At 35.2% G+C, this 24,305-nt stretch overlaps 1 protein-coding gene across 8 annotated transcripts in view; it reads right to left on the bottom strand.

Annotated features, from left to right (window-relative positions):
• Window positions 1-24,305, bottom strand: part of GUCY1B1 (guanylate cyclase 1 soluble subunit beta 1) — a 48,791-nt gene that overhangs the window by 6,865 nt on the left and 17,621 nt on the right. For 7 of the 8 annotated variants that reach the window (NM_001291953.3, NM_001291952.3, XM_011531901.2 and 4 more), the window contains 6 exons: window positions 23,305-23,423; window positions 11,036-11,233; window positions 6,861-7,091; window positions 5,490-5,606; window positions 4,437-4,570; window positions 873-1,070 (listed from right to left, as the gene is read on the bottom strand). In NM_001291953.3, the coding sequence (NP_001278882.1) occupies window positions 873-1,070; window positions 4,437-4,570; window positions 5,490-5,606; window positions 6,861-7,091; window positions 11,036-11,233; window positions 23,305-23,397 (971 nt within the window). In that variant the 5' untranslated portion in view covers window positions 23,398-23,423. Of the gene's footprint in view, window positions 1-872; window positions 1,071-4,436; window positions 4,571-5,489; window positions 5,607-6,860; window positions 7,092-11,035; window positions 11,234-15,617; window positions 15,684-23,304; window positions 23,424-24,305 lie in introns of all 8 variants that reach the window. The other variant, NM_001291951.3, reaches the window with a different exon arrangement.

Raw genomic sequence — 24,305 nt, 5'->3', positions numbered from 1 at the left:
TAGATGATTTTCTAATACAAACAGCCAGAACAGAATATTGAGTAACTCAAACCTACAAACCCATGTGACTTTGAACGTTAGTCCTAAGGTCTTAGAAGCTCCGCCAAATGTTTATATAAACATTAAAAAACGAACACATAAGAACCTGGGTAAAATAGCTTATAAATGTCAGTGATGTGCGTTTAATTAGCATATGAAAGCAAGGCCAAGTAGTATGCATGCTATGTACTTACTTAAATACATTTCTTGAAAATCAAGTATTATCTTTCATGTCCTTGCTCAATATTTCATAATTGAATCCACCACTCATAGAAATGTTTTATATTTTGATATTTTTGCTAATGTATGTCACTATAGATGTAATTGTTGTCATTACATATAATATTACAATTTGTCAGATTCATTTCTTTCTAATCCTAAATTCAAGGTCCCAGAAAATAAATTTTTAAACATGTAATGGCCAGTGGTTAAGTTCATTGTGCAGAGCAGCTCTCTGCACGCGGCAGCCCCCAGCATACTGAAGATGGTCAATATATAACTCTTGTATGAAAGAATGCAGGAATAAATGATAGTTAAACTTCAATTTTTGAACTAAATTTGAATTTGAGTTATTCTCATGATTTTCCAAAAGATATTTTGGCCTATATTATTCCAACTTGGCTTCTAAAAATAGCAGACATATTTCCACCACCATTAAGACTGGTTTATTTCCTTAAGCATAATTTCTTTTTAAAAGCAATGTGAAAGATTTTATTTACTACACCAGAGCTATTACAGGTCACATGGCTTTTTAGTCTGGTTCTCAAACTTAAATATAGTAGAGTCACATTATGTTATGAATAACAGTAGTGCTCCAAGCGTTACATTCTTACGTGTCTGTCTTTTTCTTTTCATCTTCCAGGGCTCTTAACGTGAGCTGTAGCCTGTCAGTGAGGATTTCCAGTTCTTGGGTGAGTTTGTATTCCTCTCTAAATTGTTCTCCCAAAAGAACAAGATCGCGCGTGGCATCATGCAGAGGGATGTCACTTAGATACAGCCCTCTCCTTGTCAAATCGTCCAGGTTCATGACACTGTCATATGGAGAAATGAGGCAAGATCAGTCTCAACTTATATACATGACAATGCAATCCCGATTTCTGTCAAGGAATCTGATCCTGCCACCTCCTACCATTCAAAACATCAGGCTGAAGACAATAGAATTATGGAGAATTGAACGAAGATTGTGAGTTTATTCTCTTAGATATTTAAGCATCTACCAAAAAGCAGTGAACTTGAGATGCATTTTTGCCAGGTTGCACTTTTTGGTGCCATCAGTCTAAATTGAAACGATCATGTAGAAAACATCTCTATGATAAACGTTGAGGTATTTAACACAGGCTGTAATTTATTATTCTCAAATTTTTTCTCATCATAAGGAGAGGAAAAAAATCTATCTTTATTCTCTCTCTCAAGAATAATAATGCTTCTTTTGAGAAACTTTCATTTTGCTTTCTGTATTCTATGAATCTTGTAACTGCTTATTTTTCCCTTTTGGAAACAATGAGTAAAAATTCCCAACCACGTTTATGACCCAGCCTCAGCATGTAATTTATGTATCTAAAACTATGTGTCATTCTTACTTCTGGCTCTCATGTCTTCTTTTTACTTTGACAAATTTTTCTCATTTATTTGAAACATTATTCAATCCTGCTGAATTTTATGCGTCATCATTGTAACTTGTGTCATTTTTCCAACAACATAATAATGTTTATTATTTTAGTGATAATCTGACAAGTAAAAAGTTAACTGCTTTTTAAAAATGTACTCTTTGAGGCTGGGCACAGTGGCTCACATCTGTAATCCTAGGACTTTGGGAGGCGAGGTGGGCAGACCACTTGAGGCCAGGAGTTCAAGATCAGCCTGGCTAACATGGTGAAACGCGTCTCTACCAAAAATACAAAAATGAGCTGGGTGTGGTGGCTAGCGCCTGTAGTCCCAGCTACTCGGGAGGCTGAGGCAGGAGAATTGCTTGAACCCGGGAGCAGGAGGCTGCAGTGAGCTGAGATCATGCCACTGCATTCCAGTCTGGGTGACAGAGCGAGACTCCATCTCAAACAACAACAACAACGACAACAAAACCTAACTGGTTAAAATGGCATAAGGTTATATCTTTGGCTTGAATTTTTTTAATGCAAAGTCATTACTTCTGGCCACTCTGAATAATAATTACTCTAAAAGGAAAAAATTTAGTTATGTCTTTGGAGAATCTGGGATTAATAATTTGAAGAATTTTGAATTAATCCTATCCAAAATTCTTTAAAAGGGGTGACTTTGCAGAATTTTGGATTAATGCAATATATTCTCAGCAGCAATGTTCATAAAGCAAAACAAAAATTAGCATACCTATAAAGAAAATAAAACAATCAAAGATTTTACTAATGAAATACACGGTGTCTTTTAATTTCGTTAAAATGGATATGTAAATCCACTTGCAGAAAAAGACACATCTAGAAAGAAGCCAGATCATCGGCCAAAGGTATACGAGACCTGCCCATGAGCAGAGAAAAAACATGATTGTACGTTCAAAAATGAATGGTCAAAAATGCTCATACTGAGTTACAAAACTTAAATCATAACGGTCTCGTGGTTCTAAAAATGCCCTATATCATTATTTTAATGAACCATTAAGTTTTTTCTAAATTCAAACTAATCATCTTAGAATTATTTTACAAGTAAAACTACTTTTACTTGATCTTTGTTTATGTAGTGTGAGTACAAATCTTCCTACACACCTGAGCATGTCTCATAGGACAATCTGCAATTTTCTCACTGGGTGACCAATGTCTGCATATGGGAATTAACAAATAAACTCCAAATTTTCTGCTTTTATTTCTGAAGAAAACCTTTCTTTCCATAAATAGAAATTGCCCCTAATGAGAAGCTGACATTCTCCTAAGCTCAACCTGTGAAGAGGCAGAAGAAGAAAACACTTACTGATAGCAGATGGGACATCTTTAGATCAATGTAGCTTAATAATTTTTTTAAAAAGCGTTTATGTTTCTTAGTTTTGTTTCTTTTATTTTCCTGATATTTATTTCTCAGGGAAAAGACATCCATATCCTTATATTATCTGATATATTATTCTTATATGTCATAGTTAAATAATATTTAATTAATCTTAAATGTACTTAAAAATTAACGATATATTATTATTATTATTATTATTATTATTTTGAGACAGTGTCTTGCTCTGTTGCCCAGGAGTGCAGTGGCATGATCTCGGCTCACTGCAACCTCTGCCTCCCAGGTTCAAGCGACTCTCCTGCCTCAGCCTCCCTAGTAGCTGCAATTACAGGTGCCCACCACCACTCCTGGCTAATTTTTGTATTTTTAGTAGAGATGGGATTTCACCATGTTTGCCAGGCTGATCTTGAACTCCTGACCTTGTGATCCACCCACCTCGGCCTCCGAAAGTGCTGGGATTACAGGTGTGAACTACTGTGCCAACAATATATTATTCTTATTTGGCCTTATATATTATTGTTATGTAATGTATAATACAATAGTAATAATATAACAGGAGGTTGTTACAAAGTGTATTACATTTTTCAGAAATTTTAAGACCACATTTTTAAGTGAAAAGTGATCATGGTGGAATTCAGATTAAATTTTTAACCAATAGCTCACCAAAACATGCCTTCTTGACTGTGTTACTACATAATGCACCTACACTTTGTTTATACAAAATTATGAATACACAGAATATCATCTCACAATAATCCCCACAGTTATCTTTTCTATTGTTCTGAAGCAAATTTAGACATAATTTTTATATTTCTGAATTCCCATGTATCTCCTAGTAAAATGCTTTCCTAAATTGGAAAACAACAATCTATAGTTTTATTTTTCTCTGACGTTTATTAAAAATCACATTTTACATACATTTTAATTGAATAATATATTTGGAACAGTGTATTTGGATTAGAGTAGGTAAATATTTTTAATTTAAAATAGTTCAAACCCAGAAAGAGACCTTTTAGATTTTTTGCTAACATACTATAGAAAAGATAATTTTTGATGTCAAATATACCAATGTATTTATTATGCCATCCTATTAGCTGCTTTAAAAAATCACTTTTCTACATAATGCCTATTTTGAAGGTCCAAAACTATAGAATTAGCTTAATGCAGATTATTTGTCCCATGGCGTAATGGCATAAACACTCCACAAATGTATTAAGACATGGCAAATAACATAGAGTATGTGATTTCTTCTGAGTTTATTAGCAAATATTAAATAAGATTATCCTTGTTATAAAGTAATACACAACAAGGGCTGTAAAATCTAATTACACCTCAGAGAATATGTAAATTTAATGGAATAAAATATTGTGGCATTCCTTTGTTAGCTAAAGATAGGTACTGATAGCCACTATAATTAATCTAAAAATGATTACCTTGGTGAACATAGAAAAAGTATGCTATCTGCTTCAGGTAAGTAGATCATTTGACCCTTGAGACGTAAGCAGCTGATCTCAGTCCCAGTCAGTTCATCCTCACATTCTAATTTCTCCACATCCAACAATCCTTCCTTGAAAAGGCAAGATACAACCATTAATGAATGCCTTTCTCCCTACCTAAGAATTCAGCAACAAGGACACGCATATCTCATTTCCCACCAAACCACAAAGCAGAATAAGTGCATCATTAGAACAGGAGAGGGCCTTCTGTCAGAGTTCTGCCTGTAATAAGCCTAGTGGCTGCCTTGCAACACTGCAGAAAAGTGACTGTCCCGTCTGAATTCAGGACAGTAACTGTGCTACTCTTCACATAATTATTTCAAGCTTTTGTGAATCTTTTTTATCCCCCTGATTTTCCGGTATGGTTCCAACATACATTACCAGACTCTCAAAGAATAAGCCAAGCCTCCCCATTCTCCCACCCTGTATTCATAGAGCAGCTGCAAACAGTCAGTTCCAAATACAGAAAGGATTCAATGGGTACTCTAGGAAAATGACTTTTGCTGTATCTATCCCAAGAACAGAAACCGTGAGATCCCAGCACTATCTAAATTATCAACTGTGTGAATATTTCATCACTTTTATTCACCCACAAAAACGCTACTAAGAACAATAGACAATTTAAGAAAGAATAAATAAGTGGTTTTGAGTGAAGTTCCAAAAAAAAAAATCCTTTTTAGTTCTGATTTCTAAAATAAGGCACTGTAGCTGTACAGGGAGTAAAAGATGTTGGTTTTTTGATGTGAAACAAGGCCGTCTCAGAAAGACAGTCTCTAAAATTTACCTCTGTTAATTTTAATCAGTTGATAGAGTTCCACTGCTCCTCAGGCAAACCAAAAATCAATGTTATTGCCTTTTAAATAGATCTTCCTTTGAGGTCTGGGTTTTATCTCTCTATACTTTCTCAGAGAATGTGATAATTTTCCCCCCTGAATACTTCTAATTTGTGACATACCTTTCTCACATTTAATGAAATAATATCTTGATTACCTTGCTTCTCAATACAAAAACAGTATTGATGTGAGAAAGGATCCCATGGAAACTAATATCAATATGAGGACGAACCAGCGAGAAGACAGACAGAAGGCTGCAATTCCCAGGCTGGAGCTAAAATATAGATAGAGAGCAAAGAGTATCACATCAGTTAAAATAGTTTTTATACTTTGATATTAATCGCTTGATTAAATCAGCTCAGTTATATTTAAAACTAGAAAATTATAATTATTATAATTCAAGGGAAACTTAGCTGAACTATCAACTCAAATCTCAATCTATACAACTCAGTGATTAAATGGACATTAAATAGTTACAAGAACATGAAATCTGATATGGATTCAGATGACTAATATTCAAATGTAAGCTAGCATAAATTTACAATGCATTTTCAGAAGGAGAAAAAATGAAAATTTATCTTTTAAAATGTACAGTGTTATGTTAAATGTGTATGGCTTGAAATGAAATTAAAATACCAAAAACATGAGCAAACCCTCTCTTAATATTTATCTAGAGGGCTAAAAGTGAAAACAATAGGTAACACTGATTGATTGCTTACAATGAACTAAGTATTTTTCATATGCTTTCTATTCTCATGCCAGAACAAAGAGAAACAGGCTGAGAGAAGTGAAGTAATAAGTTCAAGGTCATACAGTAAGGGACAGGTAGAGTCAATACCAGAGCCAGGACAGCACACTACTCTGCTTCCATTTCACCTGATCCAACTGGGCTAATCCTGAATTTTCAAGTCTCTTTAATTACAAGCAAAAAGTATCTCTAAACGTATGCCATATACAACTCCAAAAGTTAGTATTTAAGAAAAAAAGAGTAAGCATAAAGGATTTTACCAATGGATCTGTCATAGAAGTCAACAGCAGTTTCTCATCATCATCCCAACTGCTTCCTTTGATGCTTTTTCTACTGAATCCATCATCATCTCTATCATTTTGTGTTTTAGTTCTTTTTAAAATCCCCCCTTTTCCCTTAACACCATCAATAGTTGATTTTTAAAGCTATTTACAGATGGTAGATATCCAATGAATATTTATTCAGTGAATAAATAAACATGTGAAAGGTGACTGTTACTAAAAAGTTACCCATTTTTTTTCACTGTAACAAGTATACTATTCTTACATAACATTCCTACTGTTTCTGTATGTGATTATTATAAAAAAATAGTTGTCCTAGGGAAAGTTGTGGTATGCTCAAATACACTTAGTTCACAATTAAACAATTTGTGTAACTTACAATAAACTGCATATTACCTAATACATAGTCAGAGGGTTAAATGAATGGATGGCTGCCTGTAACAATAGTATTTCTATGGGCTTTTGTCTCAGGCCCCAAGGAAGTATGCTGTCATTTTACCTGGGGGAGAACTCTGTATATAGCATTGCCACACTGAGTGACCACTAGGTCCCGGTCAAATATTATATGAAAAGGAAAAGCTTTGCAGAATGTATATGGGCTGATGCGTGATTCCTGGGTACCATTTTCTTCAAATCTGTCAAGATCTTCATAAAAATCCTCTTCTTTTGACTCTTTTTCTTCAATTAAAAATTGAGTATGATCACATTCTTCATTTCTTTGCTGAATAACCTGGATATCAAAGGGGGAAATGGCATGAATTGTCTTCATTTCAGTTTAATAAAAATACCTAAATATAAAAAATGAGTTATGAATACTGCATTTAGAAGATTAATTACAAAAATTCAAAACATATATGCAAATACTCCATATGTCTAAAATAGGAAAATATTTCTGGACTTTGATCTATAAAATTTGAAGATTGAATAATCATTGTAAAATTACAAATCTGGTATCAGTTCCCCAGTATCCTATATGGTCTCTTTGGTAGAATTAGAAAAAAAAAGCACTTGTGGGCTCTGCCTTCTTAGCCAAGCACACTTGTATAGTGAACAACCTGAAAGCCAGCTAAAAGCAAGCTAGCACTATCAAATAAGATTACAATACTATTTTAAAACAATGGGAAATAAAATGATAGAGATTCATATTCAAAAATAAATGCAATGTCATTTTTAACCATCAACTATCAAATACATAAAGTTACAATACCAGGCCAGGTGCAGTGGCTCACGCCTGTAATCCTAGCACTTTGGGAGGGTGGGGCGGACAGGTCACCTGAGGTCAGGAGTTTGAAACCAGCCTGGCCAACATGGCAAAACCCCATCTCTACTAAAAATACAAAAATTAGCCAGGCGCAGTGGTGGGTGCCTATAATCCCAGCTACTCGGGAAGCTGAGGCAGTAGAATTGCTTGAACCTGGGGAGGCAGAGGTTGTAGTGAGACGAGATCATGCCATTGCATTCCAGCCTGGGCGACAGAACGAGACTCTGTCTCAAAAAAAGAAAAAAAAGTTACAATATTAAATTGGGTAAGGTACTGAAAAAGAGGCATCTCAAATACCACTGATGAGGGGGTATTTTGATTAATCTTTCTGAAGGATAAATTGACAATAGGCATAAAAATTCCTTAAAATTTTGTGGATTCTTTGATTTAATTGCAAATCTAGGAATTCATTCTAAAGAAGTAATCGTAATTGTGAGCTAATATCTATAATGTAAAAAAATCCTACTTTTCTAAAGTATTATTCACAGGCAAATACATTATTAAAGTATAGATTTTCCTCTTCTTTTTGGGTTAAGAAATTGCAAGCAATGAGCCCTCTTACAAAGGGAAAACTCGATCTCAACGGCAACCAGACCCAAAACAGAAAAAGTTTGGGACAACATTTCTTCAGTTACAGCTAAATAAAAACAAAATGTTGTTCATTTTTCTTTTCTTTTTTTTTTTTCAGGAGTACCCTGTCGCATTCTCTGCAATTTTTAAAAACAAATCACAATAACTATAGATGCTATTGTATATATTCTTTTAGATATATTTTGTAGCAAAACTGGGATGTTACTACCTCACTGTCAGAATAACTTACTATACTGGTTAAATATTAGTATCCTTATTTATAATTTGAAAATTTTACCACATTAAGGTTGATTTCCCTAACTCATAGACAAGGCAAGAGAGTCAACCTTAAATGACAGGCCTACTTTTGATGTTCTACTCTGTTTCTATTTAACTAGAGAAATTGAATTATATGTATCCTAAACTTATGAATTAATTATTCAATTCTAATTTTTTTGCTTTGATCAAACTGGCAAAACAAATAGCTTTTCTAATCATATTTTTAACTTCTCATTGGTATATCACTTTATGACATGATCTAGTATTAACCATGTGGTTCAAATTGTCTGGTATCTCTGGACCTGATAAACTTAATGTGAGAATCCCTCGAGAAGTCAAAACAGTGCTTTTGAAAAAATTAAACACATAAAATATACCTATAAAATGCAAATATTTCAGAAGTTCATATTGAAGCACTTGAATAAATGGTCAGAAGAGAATTTAAATATTTTATAAAGTGAACCATATAATTAAGTAAATACTTGAATTTCATACAGTTTGCTAAAGCCATCAATCTCCCATGCCAAAGATTCTAATACCACAGTAATAGTAGTTTCCAAGTGTGTCCTAATTTGTGTTTCTTTCTGAAGTTTCTACGAACCTACCTCTTTCTCAGTCTGGTTAAATAAAAATAAAACCAACAGTGCATACAATATGCATATACGTTCACTCAGTATAGATGCTGTGTTTTTTTTTGTTTTTCGTTTTGTTTTGCTTTATTTTTTTTTTTTTCTCTATTTTTTTGATAATGGAGTCTCACCCTGTCAACCAGACTGGAGTGCAGTGGCGAAATTTCGGCTCACTGCAACCTGTGCCTCCCGGGTTCAAGCGATTCTTCTGCCTCAGCCTCCCGAGTAGCTGGGATTATAGGCGCCCGCCACCACGCCTGGCTATTTTTTTAGTATTTTTAGTAGAGACGGGGTTTCACCGTGTTAGCCAGGATGGTCTCAATCTCCTGACCTCGTGATCCCCCCGCCTTGGCCTCCCAAAGTGCTAGGATTACAGGCGTGAGCCACTGCGCCCAGGCGATACTGTTAGTTTAATGTCAAGAACAAAAGACTGGCCGGGCGCGGTGGCTCACGCCTGTAATCCCAGCACTTTGGAAGGCCGAGCCGGGCGGATCATGAGGTCAGGAGAGAGAGACCATCCTGGCTAACACGGTGAAACCCCGTCTCTACTAAAAATACAAAAAAATTAGCCGGGCGTGGTGGTGGGGGCCTGTAGTCCCAGCTACTTGGGAGGCTGAGGCAGGAGAATGGCGTGAACCCGGGAGGTGGAGCTTGCAGTGAGCGGAGATCGCGCCACTGCACTCCAGCCTGGGAGACAGAGTGAGACTCTGTCTCAAAAAAAAAAAAAGATTGGAAATGTGAGGTATATACTATTTTGATTGAATACCAGTGAGATTCCCAATCATGGATGAATTGTGATACTTTACCCAAGGCTTTAATTTTTAAATGTCTGCATTTGATAATGCCATGTTATACACAGTCCTACTTTCTATTAGGTTGGTGCAACAGTAATCGTGGTTTCCGCCATTACTAATGGTTGTAGAAAACTAACGATGCACCTGGAAATCACCAAAAGGTGCCACGTAAGAACTAACACCAACTTCTGAAAGAAAGAAAACCATGAACTCTAACATAACTTTACTAGATTAAATATGTGGAATATCTTTCTAATTTATTTAAATGTTACTATTTTAATTTTGGATAATACTCCACTTAAGGGTTTTAGACCTCCCAAGTGTGTTACAATATATCTATGATCTATAAGAAAGAACTGTCTAATAGGTTTTCTATAAACAAAGAAAGGTTGGAAAAAGGTATCTATCTCCCCACTTTGGCCTCAAGTTTAAAGCTACTGAGAATTGACTCTTGGGTATGAACATGCTGAACACATAAAAAGCAGCCTGACTGGGAGAAACCGTAAGGGCCAGAGGTAAAGAGAAACAGTGGTTCTCTTTGTTGTACGGTTGCCCTATCAGTACCTTGAAATCATCACTCAAAACTAAGAGTGTGTATTATCAATAACAGCACAATTTTTAAAGTACCAGACCTGGCTTCTTTCACCAAGTAACTTGATTAAAAACAAAAACAAAAACAAACACTTTCATTCACAAAATTAGACATTCCAACTATATTTCGGGGCAGACAAAAATCGACAAAGAGAAAATGATCTATAAAATAATACTTAATTTTATATTGCCTTAGAATTTGACTATCCATATTATGGATATTTTGCATGCTGAAACCCACAGCTCAGTCGTCACATATCCTTCTGCTTCCCAGCTGGTGTGTGTTCACAGGGAATGCAAAGTAAATTTCTTGTAGCCTTGAACACTATATAATTAGAAAGAAAAATCTGCTGCCAGAAGGAAAAAAATATCCTGTATAATGCACTCCCAGGCCAAATATAGAAGATTGCTGGTCTTTCCACTGTTTTGGCTTATATATACTTCCAGGGAAGAGCACTAACAGTGATAACTGCAGGTAAATTTAGAGAGTGTCATTTAAAATATTTTTAGATGTCATCTGTGTTCAGAAGTCTCCATTGCTGTTTGTTACCTTCATGTCTATTTCAGTGCCATGGATTTGTTGTGCCACTGTTTTGATGATTCCAATGACAATATCCTGAAGTCCTTCTCTCTCTGAGTAGTAGTGCAAAATGAGTCCTTTGCCCTTTTCTGCATCAGTGCACCTAAAGGAAGGTGCACGCATTCCTGGGTAGATGGTAGCAAGGTGGTCGTGCAGAGCATCAAGGTTCTGCAGCAAAGAAGAAAGGGAGACCAATAAACAATGCTTTCGCAATGACAGCAGACTCTGGGAAAGCAAGATATGAAAACGAGTCAAATCGGAGTCTAGTGGGCAGATCAGCGAAGCAGCACATGTAGCACATCCTTCACTCCACTGAGATATCTGTAAAGCAAGTGCCACAGAGAAAATGAAACTAAGATAGTAGAATTAAGAAAAATATCTGCAGCTATGAATAGTTAGTACATTTTAAGAAAAGATAAACAAGTGGGATTAAAAAGGATGGCTAAAACAGAAAAAAACATAGTTAAGGGCTAAGGCAAAGATACATTTACAAGAGCTTGGGGCAGCTGTTTCTACGTGTTGTGATCAACAACAGGGAATGGCCAAAGGACTCACACATTTCCCTTCTGTTTATACTGCAATTCTAAAACTTAATTGTCAACTCAAAAAACTATGCCCAAATTATAAGCATATAAAACATAAGCATATTATTTTGTGATTTCTATTTAACTATTCTAATATCTTAGAAATTAAAAATCTATTTTAGAAACTAAAACAATGTAATTTCTTCATGTTCTTTAGTATGCTATCATCAAGGTGGAGTTTCATAGCTAATCTGTGAAATAACTACATTTTGAAAGTCTAGGAAAACTAATAAATTGGCCAATAAATATTTTCTGTTTTTGTAGCCTTGCCATTAGTTTGGAAGATGCCACGTTTCCCTGAGTCTCAGATTACTAATATACAAAACTAATTGGTGTAAAGAGTACTAGAAGAAACGGTGTAAGCTATACATTTTATGTGGCCCAAGATGATTTTTCAAATAACACTCAGTTCATAACATGTTGGGGTGTGTGTGTGTGTGCTGCACATATATAGTAGGATATACACACAGCACAGCATGGTATAGGAATTAAGAGCAATATGACTTAGGATCAAGTAGACATGGGTTTAAATAATGACTGTCATTTCATAGGAAGGTAGCCAATTCGCCCAATTTTTCTAAGACTTTATTTCTTCTGGCAAAATGGAGATAACTTTAAACATGTATATAAAGCACTTAGCACATTTCAGACGAGGCTGAAAAAACAACTGTCTCTGAAAGATTCCCTTGCCTTAATCCCTGTGAATATGTTGTATCGCATGGTGAAAGGGATTTTGCAGATGTGATGAGGGTTATGGACCTTGAGTTGGGAAGATTATCCTGGATTATCCAGGTGAGCCCAACCTAGTCACATGGGTGACTGTGCACTTAAAAGTCAAGAAGCTTTCCCTGCTACATGGTGACAGAGAGATGTGCAATGACAAAAGGTCAAAGAGATGGGAGTATGAGAAGGATTCAACACCATGCGACTGGTTCTGAGATGTAGGAGACTGTTGAAGGACTGGAGAGAGGTCTCCAGGACTTTAGGGCAGCTGCCTGCTGACAGTCAAGGAAACTGGGTCCTCAGCCCTATAACTGCATGGAACTGAATTCTGTCAATACTTGAATGAGGAAGAAAACAATTATCCCCAAAAGCCAACATAAAGAAACACAGTCCCGTCCCACCAGCACAGCACGCTGAATATAGTCCAGTAAGACCTGCAATGGACTTCCAACTTATGAAACCATAGGGTAATAAATTTGTGTTAAGCACTTAAGTTTGTGGTCATTTGTTATGGTAGCAATAAAAAACAAATACACCAAGCAAGTAGTAATCTATTCACAACTGGTGATTATTTTTAAAGAGAAGAAAAGAAAAACAACAAAACAGTTTCAAAATGTCATGGGCATAAAAGAACATACCTAAAATGAAAGTACTGGAGATATGCCAAAATTAAACTATGGCTTTCATTCCAAATGTCTCAAAGAGGTCAATTTAGAAAAACAGAAAAATCCAGTGAGATTACTGGGAGGAAACTACGGTGAGAATGAGATGATTCCGCGGGTGTCCACATTTGAGCAATACTCTAACAGGACACTTACAGCATTAATTTTCTGTCCCTTCCACACATCCACTCAATCATGCATTCACTCTATAATGTTATTGTATGTGCATTATATATCATACACTGTGTCATGTGGGCTTGGGTGCAGGGTAGATGTTTGGATGCAGATCTGCATGATGAGGATTAAGCAGCTCATGGTTTATATCACAAATGGATGTGTAGAGTGGCTTTTGATGAGCAAATGAGGAAGCCAACAATTCAGACTGAAAGAATGGAGTTAAAAATACTTCAAACTGAAGATGTGATTTGAGCTAGGTCATGAAGTTTGACAATCTAATCCAGATAAATGATTCAATGACCTCCTCAACTCGATAAATCTGGTGACTTTTTGAACCGTCTGCATCTACTGTTTCCTTCCCCACAATTATACCTGATGGAGTCAAGCTAATTCTTAGCAAAAACATCAGTTCATCCGGATTGCCTCTAGAGGCTGCTATTGCCATGTAAAAGTAATCCAATATGGCAGCCACTAAGTATTGAAGAGGTATATATAACCTACAAACCCCGGAGTCCTAAAACTGTTTTACTTGGTTGAATAGTATGAGAGGTTCTTCCAATGATGAATCATTCTCATTAGGACTCTTCCCTTAGAAGGGACGACCTGAGAACTGCTTCATAGCCCTCTCAGACCCCTTATACTTCTACTTATGTTGTGAAACATTTTGTGAAAGAAAATCGGGTGAGAAAAAAAAAATCACTGAGAGAGTTTTATTTTTATCTGCATTTCTCACAAAGTCAAAATTGAGCTTGTGGCTGCATTTAGAAAATGTTTCTAATAGAGTCAGGCCCAGGTACTGTGTTGTTGGCTCACTTAAAAAAGAAATTGAGGCCAGGCGTGCTCTCACACCTGTAATCCCAGCACTTTGGGAGGCGGAGGCAGGCAGATTACTTGAGGTCAGGAGTTCGAGAACCAGCCTGGCCAACATGGTGAAACCCCACATCTACTGAAAATACAAAAATTGGCCAGGCGCGGTGCCTCACACCTGTAATCCCAGCACTTTGGGAGGCCAAGGCGGGCGGATCACAAGGTCAGGAGATCAAGACCATCCTGGCTAACACGGTGAAACCCCGTCTCTACTAAGAGAAAAAAAAAGAAATTAGCAGGGTGTGGCGGTGGGTGCCTGTAATCCCAGCCACTCAGGAGGCTGAGGCAGGAGAATGGCATGAACCCGGGAGGTGGAGCTTGCAGTGAGCCGAAATCTCGCCACTGCACTCCAGCCTGGGCGACAGAGTGAGACTCCATCTCAAAAAAAAAAAAAAAAAAAAAAAAAAGAAAGAAAGAAAATACAAAAATTAGCCAGGCGTGGTGGGGCATGCCTGTAGTCCCAGCTACTTGGGAGGCTGAGGCATGAGAATCGCTTGAACCCAGGAGGTGGAGGTTGCAGTGAGCCCAGATCTCACCACTGCACTCCAGCCTGGGCGACACAGTGAGATTCTGCCTCAAAAAAAAAAAAAAAAAAAAGGAAATTGAACCAAACAATAACTTCAAAAAGGCATTTTAATATTTTTTCTATACAGAATGCTTACATATTTCATAAATCAATGTACCAATGTGCTTATATCATTTTCATACTCATCTTTTTTACTGGATTATTAAAACATTTCTACTTTCACTCAAGCAGATGGCATAAGGCAATAACGACTTGCACCACTTATGTCACTGGCACCACTTATGCTGGGGCAAGTCAGAGAGTGGACACAATCATCCAAGTCAGTACTTCCTGAGTCACTAAAGATAGGCACTGCACCCTCACCAAAGGATACCAAAAACACCAAATGAGAATGTTCACCTTTTCTGTCTTTTTGCAGTAACCAACTCTCCAGAGATTTACTGTGTTATTGAATTTACTATTAGTTAATTGAACAAGTAAAGTGCTCTCCTGAATCATAAAAGATTGAACACCACTTAATGTAATATTGATTTTCTTTAGATAGTATCTAATATAAAAAATACTCTTGGGATTTCTTGAGTTACAACCTTCCTTACTTGGCTTTACTCTTTCAAAATTTAAAGTAATTACCACAGCCAGACTATTACAAGAAATGAGATTAATGATTAAAAGTTATTTTCATTTAAGTACACTTATATTGCTAATAAATGTGTCATCCTCATATACAGGCTACAATTTTTTTTTTTTGCTACAAAAAGATTCTTACAATGGCCAAGAGAAAACCCTTTCTACATTTGATAATGCTATCTAAACAAAGATGATAGTTCATCCACATTGCTCTAACAATGTATTCTGGGGAATAAGAGTTTCATATCAAAACTGATATTCTGTGTTATTTCTAAATATACCCACAGAAGCACTTACAGAAAGTAAAGAGCTGTGTGGCCAATTGCAAAGAAGTATGTCCATATGTATGAAAGTAAAAAAGACACTGAAAAAATGTAAACTCTTACATTGCAGCACAAGTAGATTCCCAGGAAACAATGATGTAAATCTGAAATATGCTTTGATTCATTCTTCTAGGCTTCATAAAATCAAAAAACAGGAAAAATATAGAGAGTAGGTCCATTCATCTATTTTGATATCTTGAGATACCTAAAGGTTTTAATTTAATAATTTCATTTCTTAATGTTCTAATATCATTTTATTGTTTTTCTACAAGCAAATGAATGTGGTTTTTCTACTCAGGAATTCTGCTCCCTGTCAGTCTAGTTTATTTTATCACCTTGCATTTATCATTTATAAAAGAAAAATTAGTTCTGGTATTCTGGGGTACTCTACTGGAATTTCAGACATAGTACACTTCACAGATTTAGAAAACAAAAGACAATTTATCATTCCTTTGAGTAATAAAGTGTCACATTTTTAAAGATCTTGGGATGTTTCAAAATAAATGCACATTTTCTTTTTGTAATATGCATGCCAAAAATAAGTTCTTACATAATTACAGGGGCAAAGTCCCCAGAAGTCAACTACCTGATTTTCCTGTTTCAAGGACATCTAATTAAATTTTTTAAAGGATCCACAGAAATGGGTAAGACCTTGCCTTGAACGTTTTAAAGAAAAACATTTTCAGTATCCAAGAATCCTTGTTTTAGTGGATGGGGAGAAGGGAGTTGTCTGTGTTGAGAATATTACTGCAGTTTAGATCTGCAAGAAATCTTTAAAACCAGTCATTGCAAACCTCTTTTTGTTTTTCAATGAAGGAGGATGAGGTATAGTATTTCCTTTCTTTCTATCCCTCACACCTCTGAAAAATAGGACCAACACCAACATTCTTTAATGAGAGTCATGTAATTTAAAAAATATTTTGTTAAGTTTTATAAGAAAAAAGTCATTTTGGAATTTGAAGATAAAACATTTAAACAAAGTCGACCTAAGTAAAATGGAACATCAAACCCTAGATGATGAGAAACACCAAAGTAAATAGCATGAGATTGGAGTAGGAAGTGAATGCTTTCATAATACTTTTCCTGCCTTTTCTTCCTGGAGCTGCTTCTTGAGAATTAAATAGCTTTTCAACTGAAAAGATATAGAGATTCTTTTCTAAAAGAAACATTGAAAATCTCTATTTAAAAAGAAACTGTACCAGAGTCACTAAAATTATTTAAATGGAAATAGCGTTAAAGCTATATCAATTTATCATTACCATCCTCTCCAAGGAAATATTTTAATTAAAGAAAAACAGTTAAAATATTTCTCTTATTCTATTGCTTTTAAACTCATGTTAAAAAAGATCCAGTCTATATAATACTACATGTAACAATTAATCAATATTTTGAAAAATTATGAAAATATATACCAGTTATTCAAACTGAAAAGCCTTACAATTCTGGAATACTTCTTATCTTCCTTCATAAGTTTTTAAAAAATAAAACTATTTTTATTATTGGATTATAGAAATTGGCGTTGTGGATGCTGAGAAAACAGCTCTTTTTTAAAATTCCAAAGTTAAAAATAAAGTGAATGGTGCTCTTTTTTCTTAAGAAATATAAATAATTTAGGGAAGTATTAGAATTTTACAGCTGTTCAGGAAAATCCTCATATTTCCTAAAATAACCCTTTGCACAAACATTTAAGAATTAGATCAGTCATCAATCTCAGATTGTTCCTGGTGGCCAAATCACAATGTTGTATTTAATAAGTCAAAACCTGGAGCCAACAGGAATTGAAGAAAATCCCATGGCAGGCTGAACAGAGGCGCTAGTTGATAAACTCAAATATATCTGAGTTGAGTGAATGACTGAAACTGTCAACATATCAAGGTTAGTTGAAGAAGCCAGTGTCTCCAGCAAATAATGAAAGAACGCTGATCTAACTATTCACCTGAGTTCTAATTTAAATTAGGTCATAATTTAAATCCTAACTGTTCTCTAAAATTGCATTTGCCCACGTATATTTTCATAGTCAACCTGGCAGCCTTCGCTGCTCATTTTAATTGCATTTTAACTCTGTAAATTTGTAGGGGAGGTAAAAACAATATAATGTAATAATAATGTAATACCATCGAAATTGAATTGGTAGCCCTGTTTGGGACTGACATGGCTCCTATTCCCAGGGGTAATAGATTATCTTATCAAATACAGCTTTCTCAAAGCTCTTGACTCATTGTACAAGCATATACACACATATTAACACAGACATAAAATATAAAGGGAAAAATAATGCACAGAGTAGTGGTCTAGTTATCCATAGCTGTATGTCAAACAACTTTAATAATTTATTTGTTATTTTTCATGGTTCTGTGGGTTGTCTGGCTAAATTAGAAAGTTCTACCCTTGGGACGGAATCAGATGGAAACTGGGCTGAAATTATCAGAATGCCGGAGCAGGCTGGTTTTCCAAGATGGATCAATCAAATGGCTGGTAGTTATTTCCAGCTCTTTGCTGAGAGCCCAGCTAGAACTGCTATCTGCCAGTCTACACGTGGCCTCTCCATGTGGCTTGTGCTTCTCATTTCATGTGTCTGGGTTTCTAGAGGTACCATCGCAACAGCAACTGTTCCAAGATACCCTGAAGGAAACCAAGACTTCCTGTACTCTAGCCTAGGAAGTTTAAATATCTCACTTCTGCCCCATTCGATTGGTTAAATAGTCACTAAAGCCAACCCAGATTCAAGGAAAAGAGAATTTTACCTCCCGCAAGGAAGAGGCAAAATCATACTACAGAAATGCATGTGAGATGGGAGAGACTGTTGCAGTAATTTAGGGAAAATAGAATGTGCCATAATGCAATAGGACATTAGAGAGTAGAGGTGAGCGTGGATTAAGGTAGAAATAACATTAAACTGAACATTCCTTATCAGCTATTTTCTTATGAAGCTTTCAAATCCCATGTATTCTTTGCAGTCTTTTCATCAGTACACTAGAAGCTTCAGATAGAAATTGACTATAGCAGCCAGGCGCTCTGGCCCATGCCTGTAATCCCAGCACTTTGGGAGGCCGAGGCGGGCGGATCACGAGGTCAGGAGATCGAGACCATTCTGGCTAACACGGTGAAACCCCCTCTCTACTAAAAAATACAAAATAAAAGAAAAAGAAATCAGCTGGGTGTGGTGGCGGGCGCCTGTAGTCCCAGCTACTCGGGCGGCTGAGGCAGTAGAATGGCGTGAACCCGGGAGGCGGAGTTTGCAGTGAGCCGAGACTGCGCCACTGCACTCCAGCCTGGGCGACAGAGCAAGACTCCGTCTCAATAATAATAATAATAATAAAACATTAAAAAACGCAAAAAAAGACATTGACTATAGCAATAGCATGGAACCACACATTTTATTGTCAATTTATGAATAAAAAAGTGGAAAAACTAGACAAAATTCTTACTGAAATATGGTCTTGTCTTTAAAACAATATACCCAGGTAAAATATATAAGATCCAAAAATCAAATTTTAAAAATGTCTTCTTTTTCTCTTTTTGATACATTATATTTTCAATTATTAAATCAACCAAAGAATAAATGCCAAAGATTATTACTTTTTTCATCAGCCCACAAGTTGATGCTTTCACTGGTGATTTAAGAAAAAATCAATTCTAAACTGTGAAATGCCTAGAGAAGAGGAGTATTTCTACAAAGTTTTCTCTAAAAATATTTCTTATATTTTATTATCCATTAAATTTTATATTTTATTTATCCATTTAGGATAAATTTTATTTATCGTAAATATATCCTAAATATTATTTATCCTAAATTTTATTTATCCTAAATATATCCCATTATATTTTATTTATCCATTTAGGACTTCTAGCTATTTTTTTGTTAAAGTCTCAGTGTGGCTTAAAATACGCATAATGCAAATTTTTTAAACTTGAATTTGTAAGCACAGGAGAGACTGCATAAGCAGGGTCATGAATTGGATATTGGCACCAAAGCCTTTCAAGGGGAAAGATATGTTAGTATTCGTTAAGTCAACTGTGAATGGAAATGATAACCTCCATGTGAGAAAACAAATATTTTTCTGGAGCTAAGCTACAGATATTATCTATACAGTATCCTCGAATAAAAAATTTAAGCAAAAGAGGTATTATCCTGATAAAACAGGCTGGACCAAATAATTATAAAGACACATATACTTCAGAATTAATTAATTCTATTATTTAAAGACTGTTTCATTAATTGCCTATTATATGCTGTGTCTAGTACTTAGAAATTTTCTTTCATTATTTCAAGAAAAGTAAAAACAATGGTATGGTATGTATATACATATATAAGACAGACCTATTCTTAATAATGTATCTAACTGAGAGGCTGTGGACAGGCAACTTCCAAGGAAATTCTGCTTGCTATGATGAGTGAGTCAGAGTTGCTCAGCTAAGGCATAATCAAATAGTCTCCCATGTTATGATTTCAGTAGCTATTTTAGTGTTCCCTAAAAGCTTAAAATGGAAATGTCAGAACGACCATTTTAAAAGTGTCAACAGATACAAGCAATGTACCCTGTAAATTAAATAATAAACAGTAATTTAGGATGTTCACCTGAAAAGGAAATTGGTCTAGTGTATGTCTCTTCTTTTATATTTCAATCTATGATTCATCCGTAAAAAAAATTACAGGATCTCACTCGAAATGGGTTATCCTGAGGCAAATAATTCAGCTTGATCTATTGGTGTGTTTGCTTCCTATTGTGTGTTTTCTGCTTTTGCACAAACAACAAATATTCACTTTTTTAAAAAAGATATTCATTTATTCTCAGATATACAGATTGCATCTGTGAAGGTACAAACATTAAGAGATTATACATGATCTCTGGCTTCCTGAAGTTTACATTCCAGTCCATCAAATGGGAATGATAATGCAGTATGAAAACTACTGTGGCTGGGGAAATAGAGTGTCCTATGAAAATAAGAGAGAGGTTAGTTACCGTGACTAGGATAGGGCAGAGCTTGGAGAGAGGAGTGGCGTCTTCCCAGAGAAGTAATTTTACCTGCAGAATTAATAGAATTTATCTATGGGGAAAGTGCTGGAAACATGCTCCAGGCAAAGAGAAGAGCAGTGGAAAAGCTGAGAGGATAGCGGGAACAAGATAAATACAAGGTTCTTAAAGAGGTTAAGTTTGGCTGGACTGGGGGAGAGGGAGAGGAAAGATGCAGAAAGGATGTAGGTTTCAATTGTTTTAAATATTTTGACAGTTTCCAGTGAGCAATAAAAAATTACTCCAGAGTTTAAGCAAGAAAACGATACGACGAGAGACATTTGCATTTCAGAAAAAGCACTAGAGTTATAGGATGGAGAAGAGATTGGAGGAGTCATGAAGAGAAGCAGGGAATCCATTCAACCTCTAGATAATGGTAGACTCTCCCAAAGAAGTGTGGGGGGAAATAGAGAAAAGTGGCAGAATTCCCAAAGCTCAGTATTTGGGAAATAGAATCTAAAGATGCTGTGACTGATTAAAACCAGGACTGAAACAGAAAGAAAGTCTTTAAATTTTTAGTGAAGAGTTGAAGTCACCATAAAGAATATTTTACTAATTTACGTAATAAAAATGTCAATATATGTGTGCTGGCATGTTAAAACAATGTATGAAAGTTAATGATTTTGTTTTATAGTCACACAGAAAAAGTCCATTTAATTTCTGTGTAATCAGCCTAATGATAACATAAATATCTACTTTTTAGAAAAGCAGTATTTTAACATATTCAATTTGCCCTTAAAATGTATAATTTCAAAACCAGGAGAAAATAAAAGAACTGAATCATAATGTAAAATATTGATGAAAACTACAGTATTCTAACTTTCTAGTTTCTTCATTTTTCACTCTCACGTTGAAAGAGAAATAAAATAAAATTGTGTATAATTTAAAGCTATGTTAACTACATTTTATATAACCAAATATATCCAAAATATTAACATTTTAACATGAAATCAATCAATATAAAATTGTGAATGAGCCATCTTTTATTCTTTTTGTACTGTCTTTGACATCTGGTGTATATTTTACACTTGCAGCACATTGCACTTTGTTGTGTGTATGTATGTATGTACACATGTATGTATGTATGTAGAGACAGGGTCTCACTCTGTCACCCAGGCTGGAGTGCAGTGATGTGATCACAGCTCACTCACTGCAGCCTCCATCTCCCAGGCTCAAGTGATCCTCCCATCTCAGCCTCCAAGTAGCTGGGACTACAGGTGTGAGCCACTCCCCAGTTTGCACATCTCATTTTAAATGCTGAGTAGCCTCATGCACTAGTGGCTGTCCTATTGGATAAAGCAGCTCTGGAATACAGAGAAACACACCTAAAAGGCCGCTTGCTCTCTTACTGTGCCATAACAAGCTTAGCAGATGGTCACAATGAGTAGAGGTTAAAAAAAAAAAAAAGGAATTAATAAAACCACTTGAATCTTTGTTTTGTTATGTAAACATGGGCATTGAGAGAGAGAGTTATAAGTCAGAACAACTGAAAGTTGAAACTTTGCTATAAGTTGATAGTGGCCAACAAAAGTACTAAAAAGTGAAATATGTATTCAAAAACCCAAAATCCCCCAAAACATTTAAGTATCAAATTTTAATCCATTTAAAATAATCCCATTAAATGCTGCCTGTTCAATTTTATTTAAATATCTCTTGGCAGCTACTTCATTTGGAAGTGGCAGCTTTTTTTGACACCAGTAGTTTAGTAAATCCATGGCAGGAGATTGCAAACCAGTTTCCAACTTGATTTAATGCTGTTTTAAGTTTATAAGAAAAATGTCACTATGTAAACAACAGACATTTTGATTAAACACTAAAGTTCTTATTTTGGCTGTTAAATCAATAATGCAGCTGGATTGAAAGTAGTTTACATTCCCTCAAAACTGGGCTTCGGTTCAGCTAGTATTGCACTGACATCATTTTCCAGCAAGATCTGGCTGCTGAAAGCAGCCAGTTTAGAAATATCCTTTGCAAACAACTATATAATTTTCAATGTTAACACATTTCAAGAAGAGGGTCTCACAAATGTCAATGCTTAAAATAGTATAGTCAATCCAGAAATAGTCTCTCATCTAATGTGTAATTTACTAGTACAATCTTTTAAGGTAATTTTAACAAGAATGTAAGACAAAGGCCTGTGATTGCATTATTTAACTTTTTCACCTGAAACTGACTTTGGACTGTTTCCTATTTTCCCTCGTACAGTAGATTAATTAATATTTAACTAATGATAATGGATCTTAAGTATGTTTTGGTGACAGAACACCTGAAAACCCTACTACTTTTTCCTAAACATTGAGCTCCAGGTAGAACTTCATAAATACTGATACATTGCTCGATTATATCTACAAACTAGGAATGTTTTGTAAATAGAAAATAAGGCCATATTAAATGTCTAACACATAAAACCACAATCACTAGGATATAGAGCCATTACCCCAAAAAAAGGGCAGTTGAACAGATCACAAAAGACCACCTGGAGTTCTTCAGGGAACATTAATTTACAACTTGCATATTCAGTATCAGCAACCAGAAGTTAAAGAAAAAATATAATGCTAAAATGTATTCGAGACGCTCCAATAACGATGATTTTATGTGAATTAGAAAAAGGTGACTACGATTCCATTTCAGAAGCAAGACACTCTTGTACAGCTGAGTGAACAAAAGTATTCTAGAGTCTATATTTGAGAGTTATAAACACAGAACTTTTAACTATAGGACCTCAAATTGCTTACCTGTAGAAATTCTCTGACATTAGAGCCCAGGACACGCAAGATTGTATCATAACCAGATTCTTGGCAAAAGACGAAAAACATCTTCCCAAACATTTGGAGGATTTCTCCAGCATTGAGATCTATTTTACAAATTCAAGAGGGGAAAAAAAGCATATAATAGGTGAAATATTGTTAATAGAAAAAATGAAGATAAGTGTTTATTAAGTAATGTAAAATGTCTTCAATTTTTGTGCATGGCAAGCATAGATCATATGAAAAAAATCCCGCCAGGACAATACAATGAAATCAGAGAAGACAACGTATAAACATGTTAATGGTGTACATTTGCATTTACAAGCAAAGCAACCAGTTTTTCAGCTTCTATTACAAATTATAAGTGGAGCATACCTAATCTGAAAATCTGAAATTCTAAATACTCAAGAACCTGAAACTTTTTGGTCACCAACGTGACACTACAAGTGGAAAATTCTACACCTGAACTCGTGTAATGGATTGCAGTCAAAATGTTGTTTCATGCAGAAAATCATTTAAAATATTGTGCAAAATTGCCTTCAGCCTATGTCTATAAGGTGTACATGAAACATAAGTGAATTTTATGTTTCGACTTGAATCCCATCCTCAAGATATCTTCTTATGGATATGCAAGTATTCCAAAATCCAAAAAAAATCTGAAAGCCTAAACACTTCTGGTCTCAAGAGTTTTAGACAAGAGATACTCACCCTGTACTTAATTTTGGCCATTTTAAAGCATATATTTGATATACTACTTCTTTTTTCCAAAAAACACAGATTTTTAAAATCATCAAGAATGCACATGACAATATTTTGATACAAAAGTCTTTATATAAATATGTATATTTAATAACTTGATTACATATAACATGTACCCTGGTGTCCTGCTTTTTTCTTAATAAACAATCATTAATATTTCCTAAAACTTAAATTTTCTGTATCACATTTTTTTTAGTTTTTTGAGACAGAGTCTCACTTTGTCGCCCAGG

The sequence above is a fragment of the Homo sapiens genome, chromosome 4, assembly GCF_000001405.40.
Source record: "Homo sapiens chromosome 4, GRCh38.p14 Primary Assembly".
Taxonomy (NCBI): Eukaryota; Metazoa; Chordata; class Mammalia; order Primates; family Hominidae; genus Homo; species Homo sapiens.
Note: the sequence above shows the minus strand (reverse complement) of the source record. Positions and strands in the feature narration are given on the sequence as shown.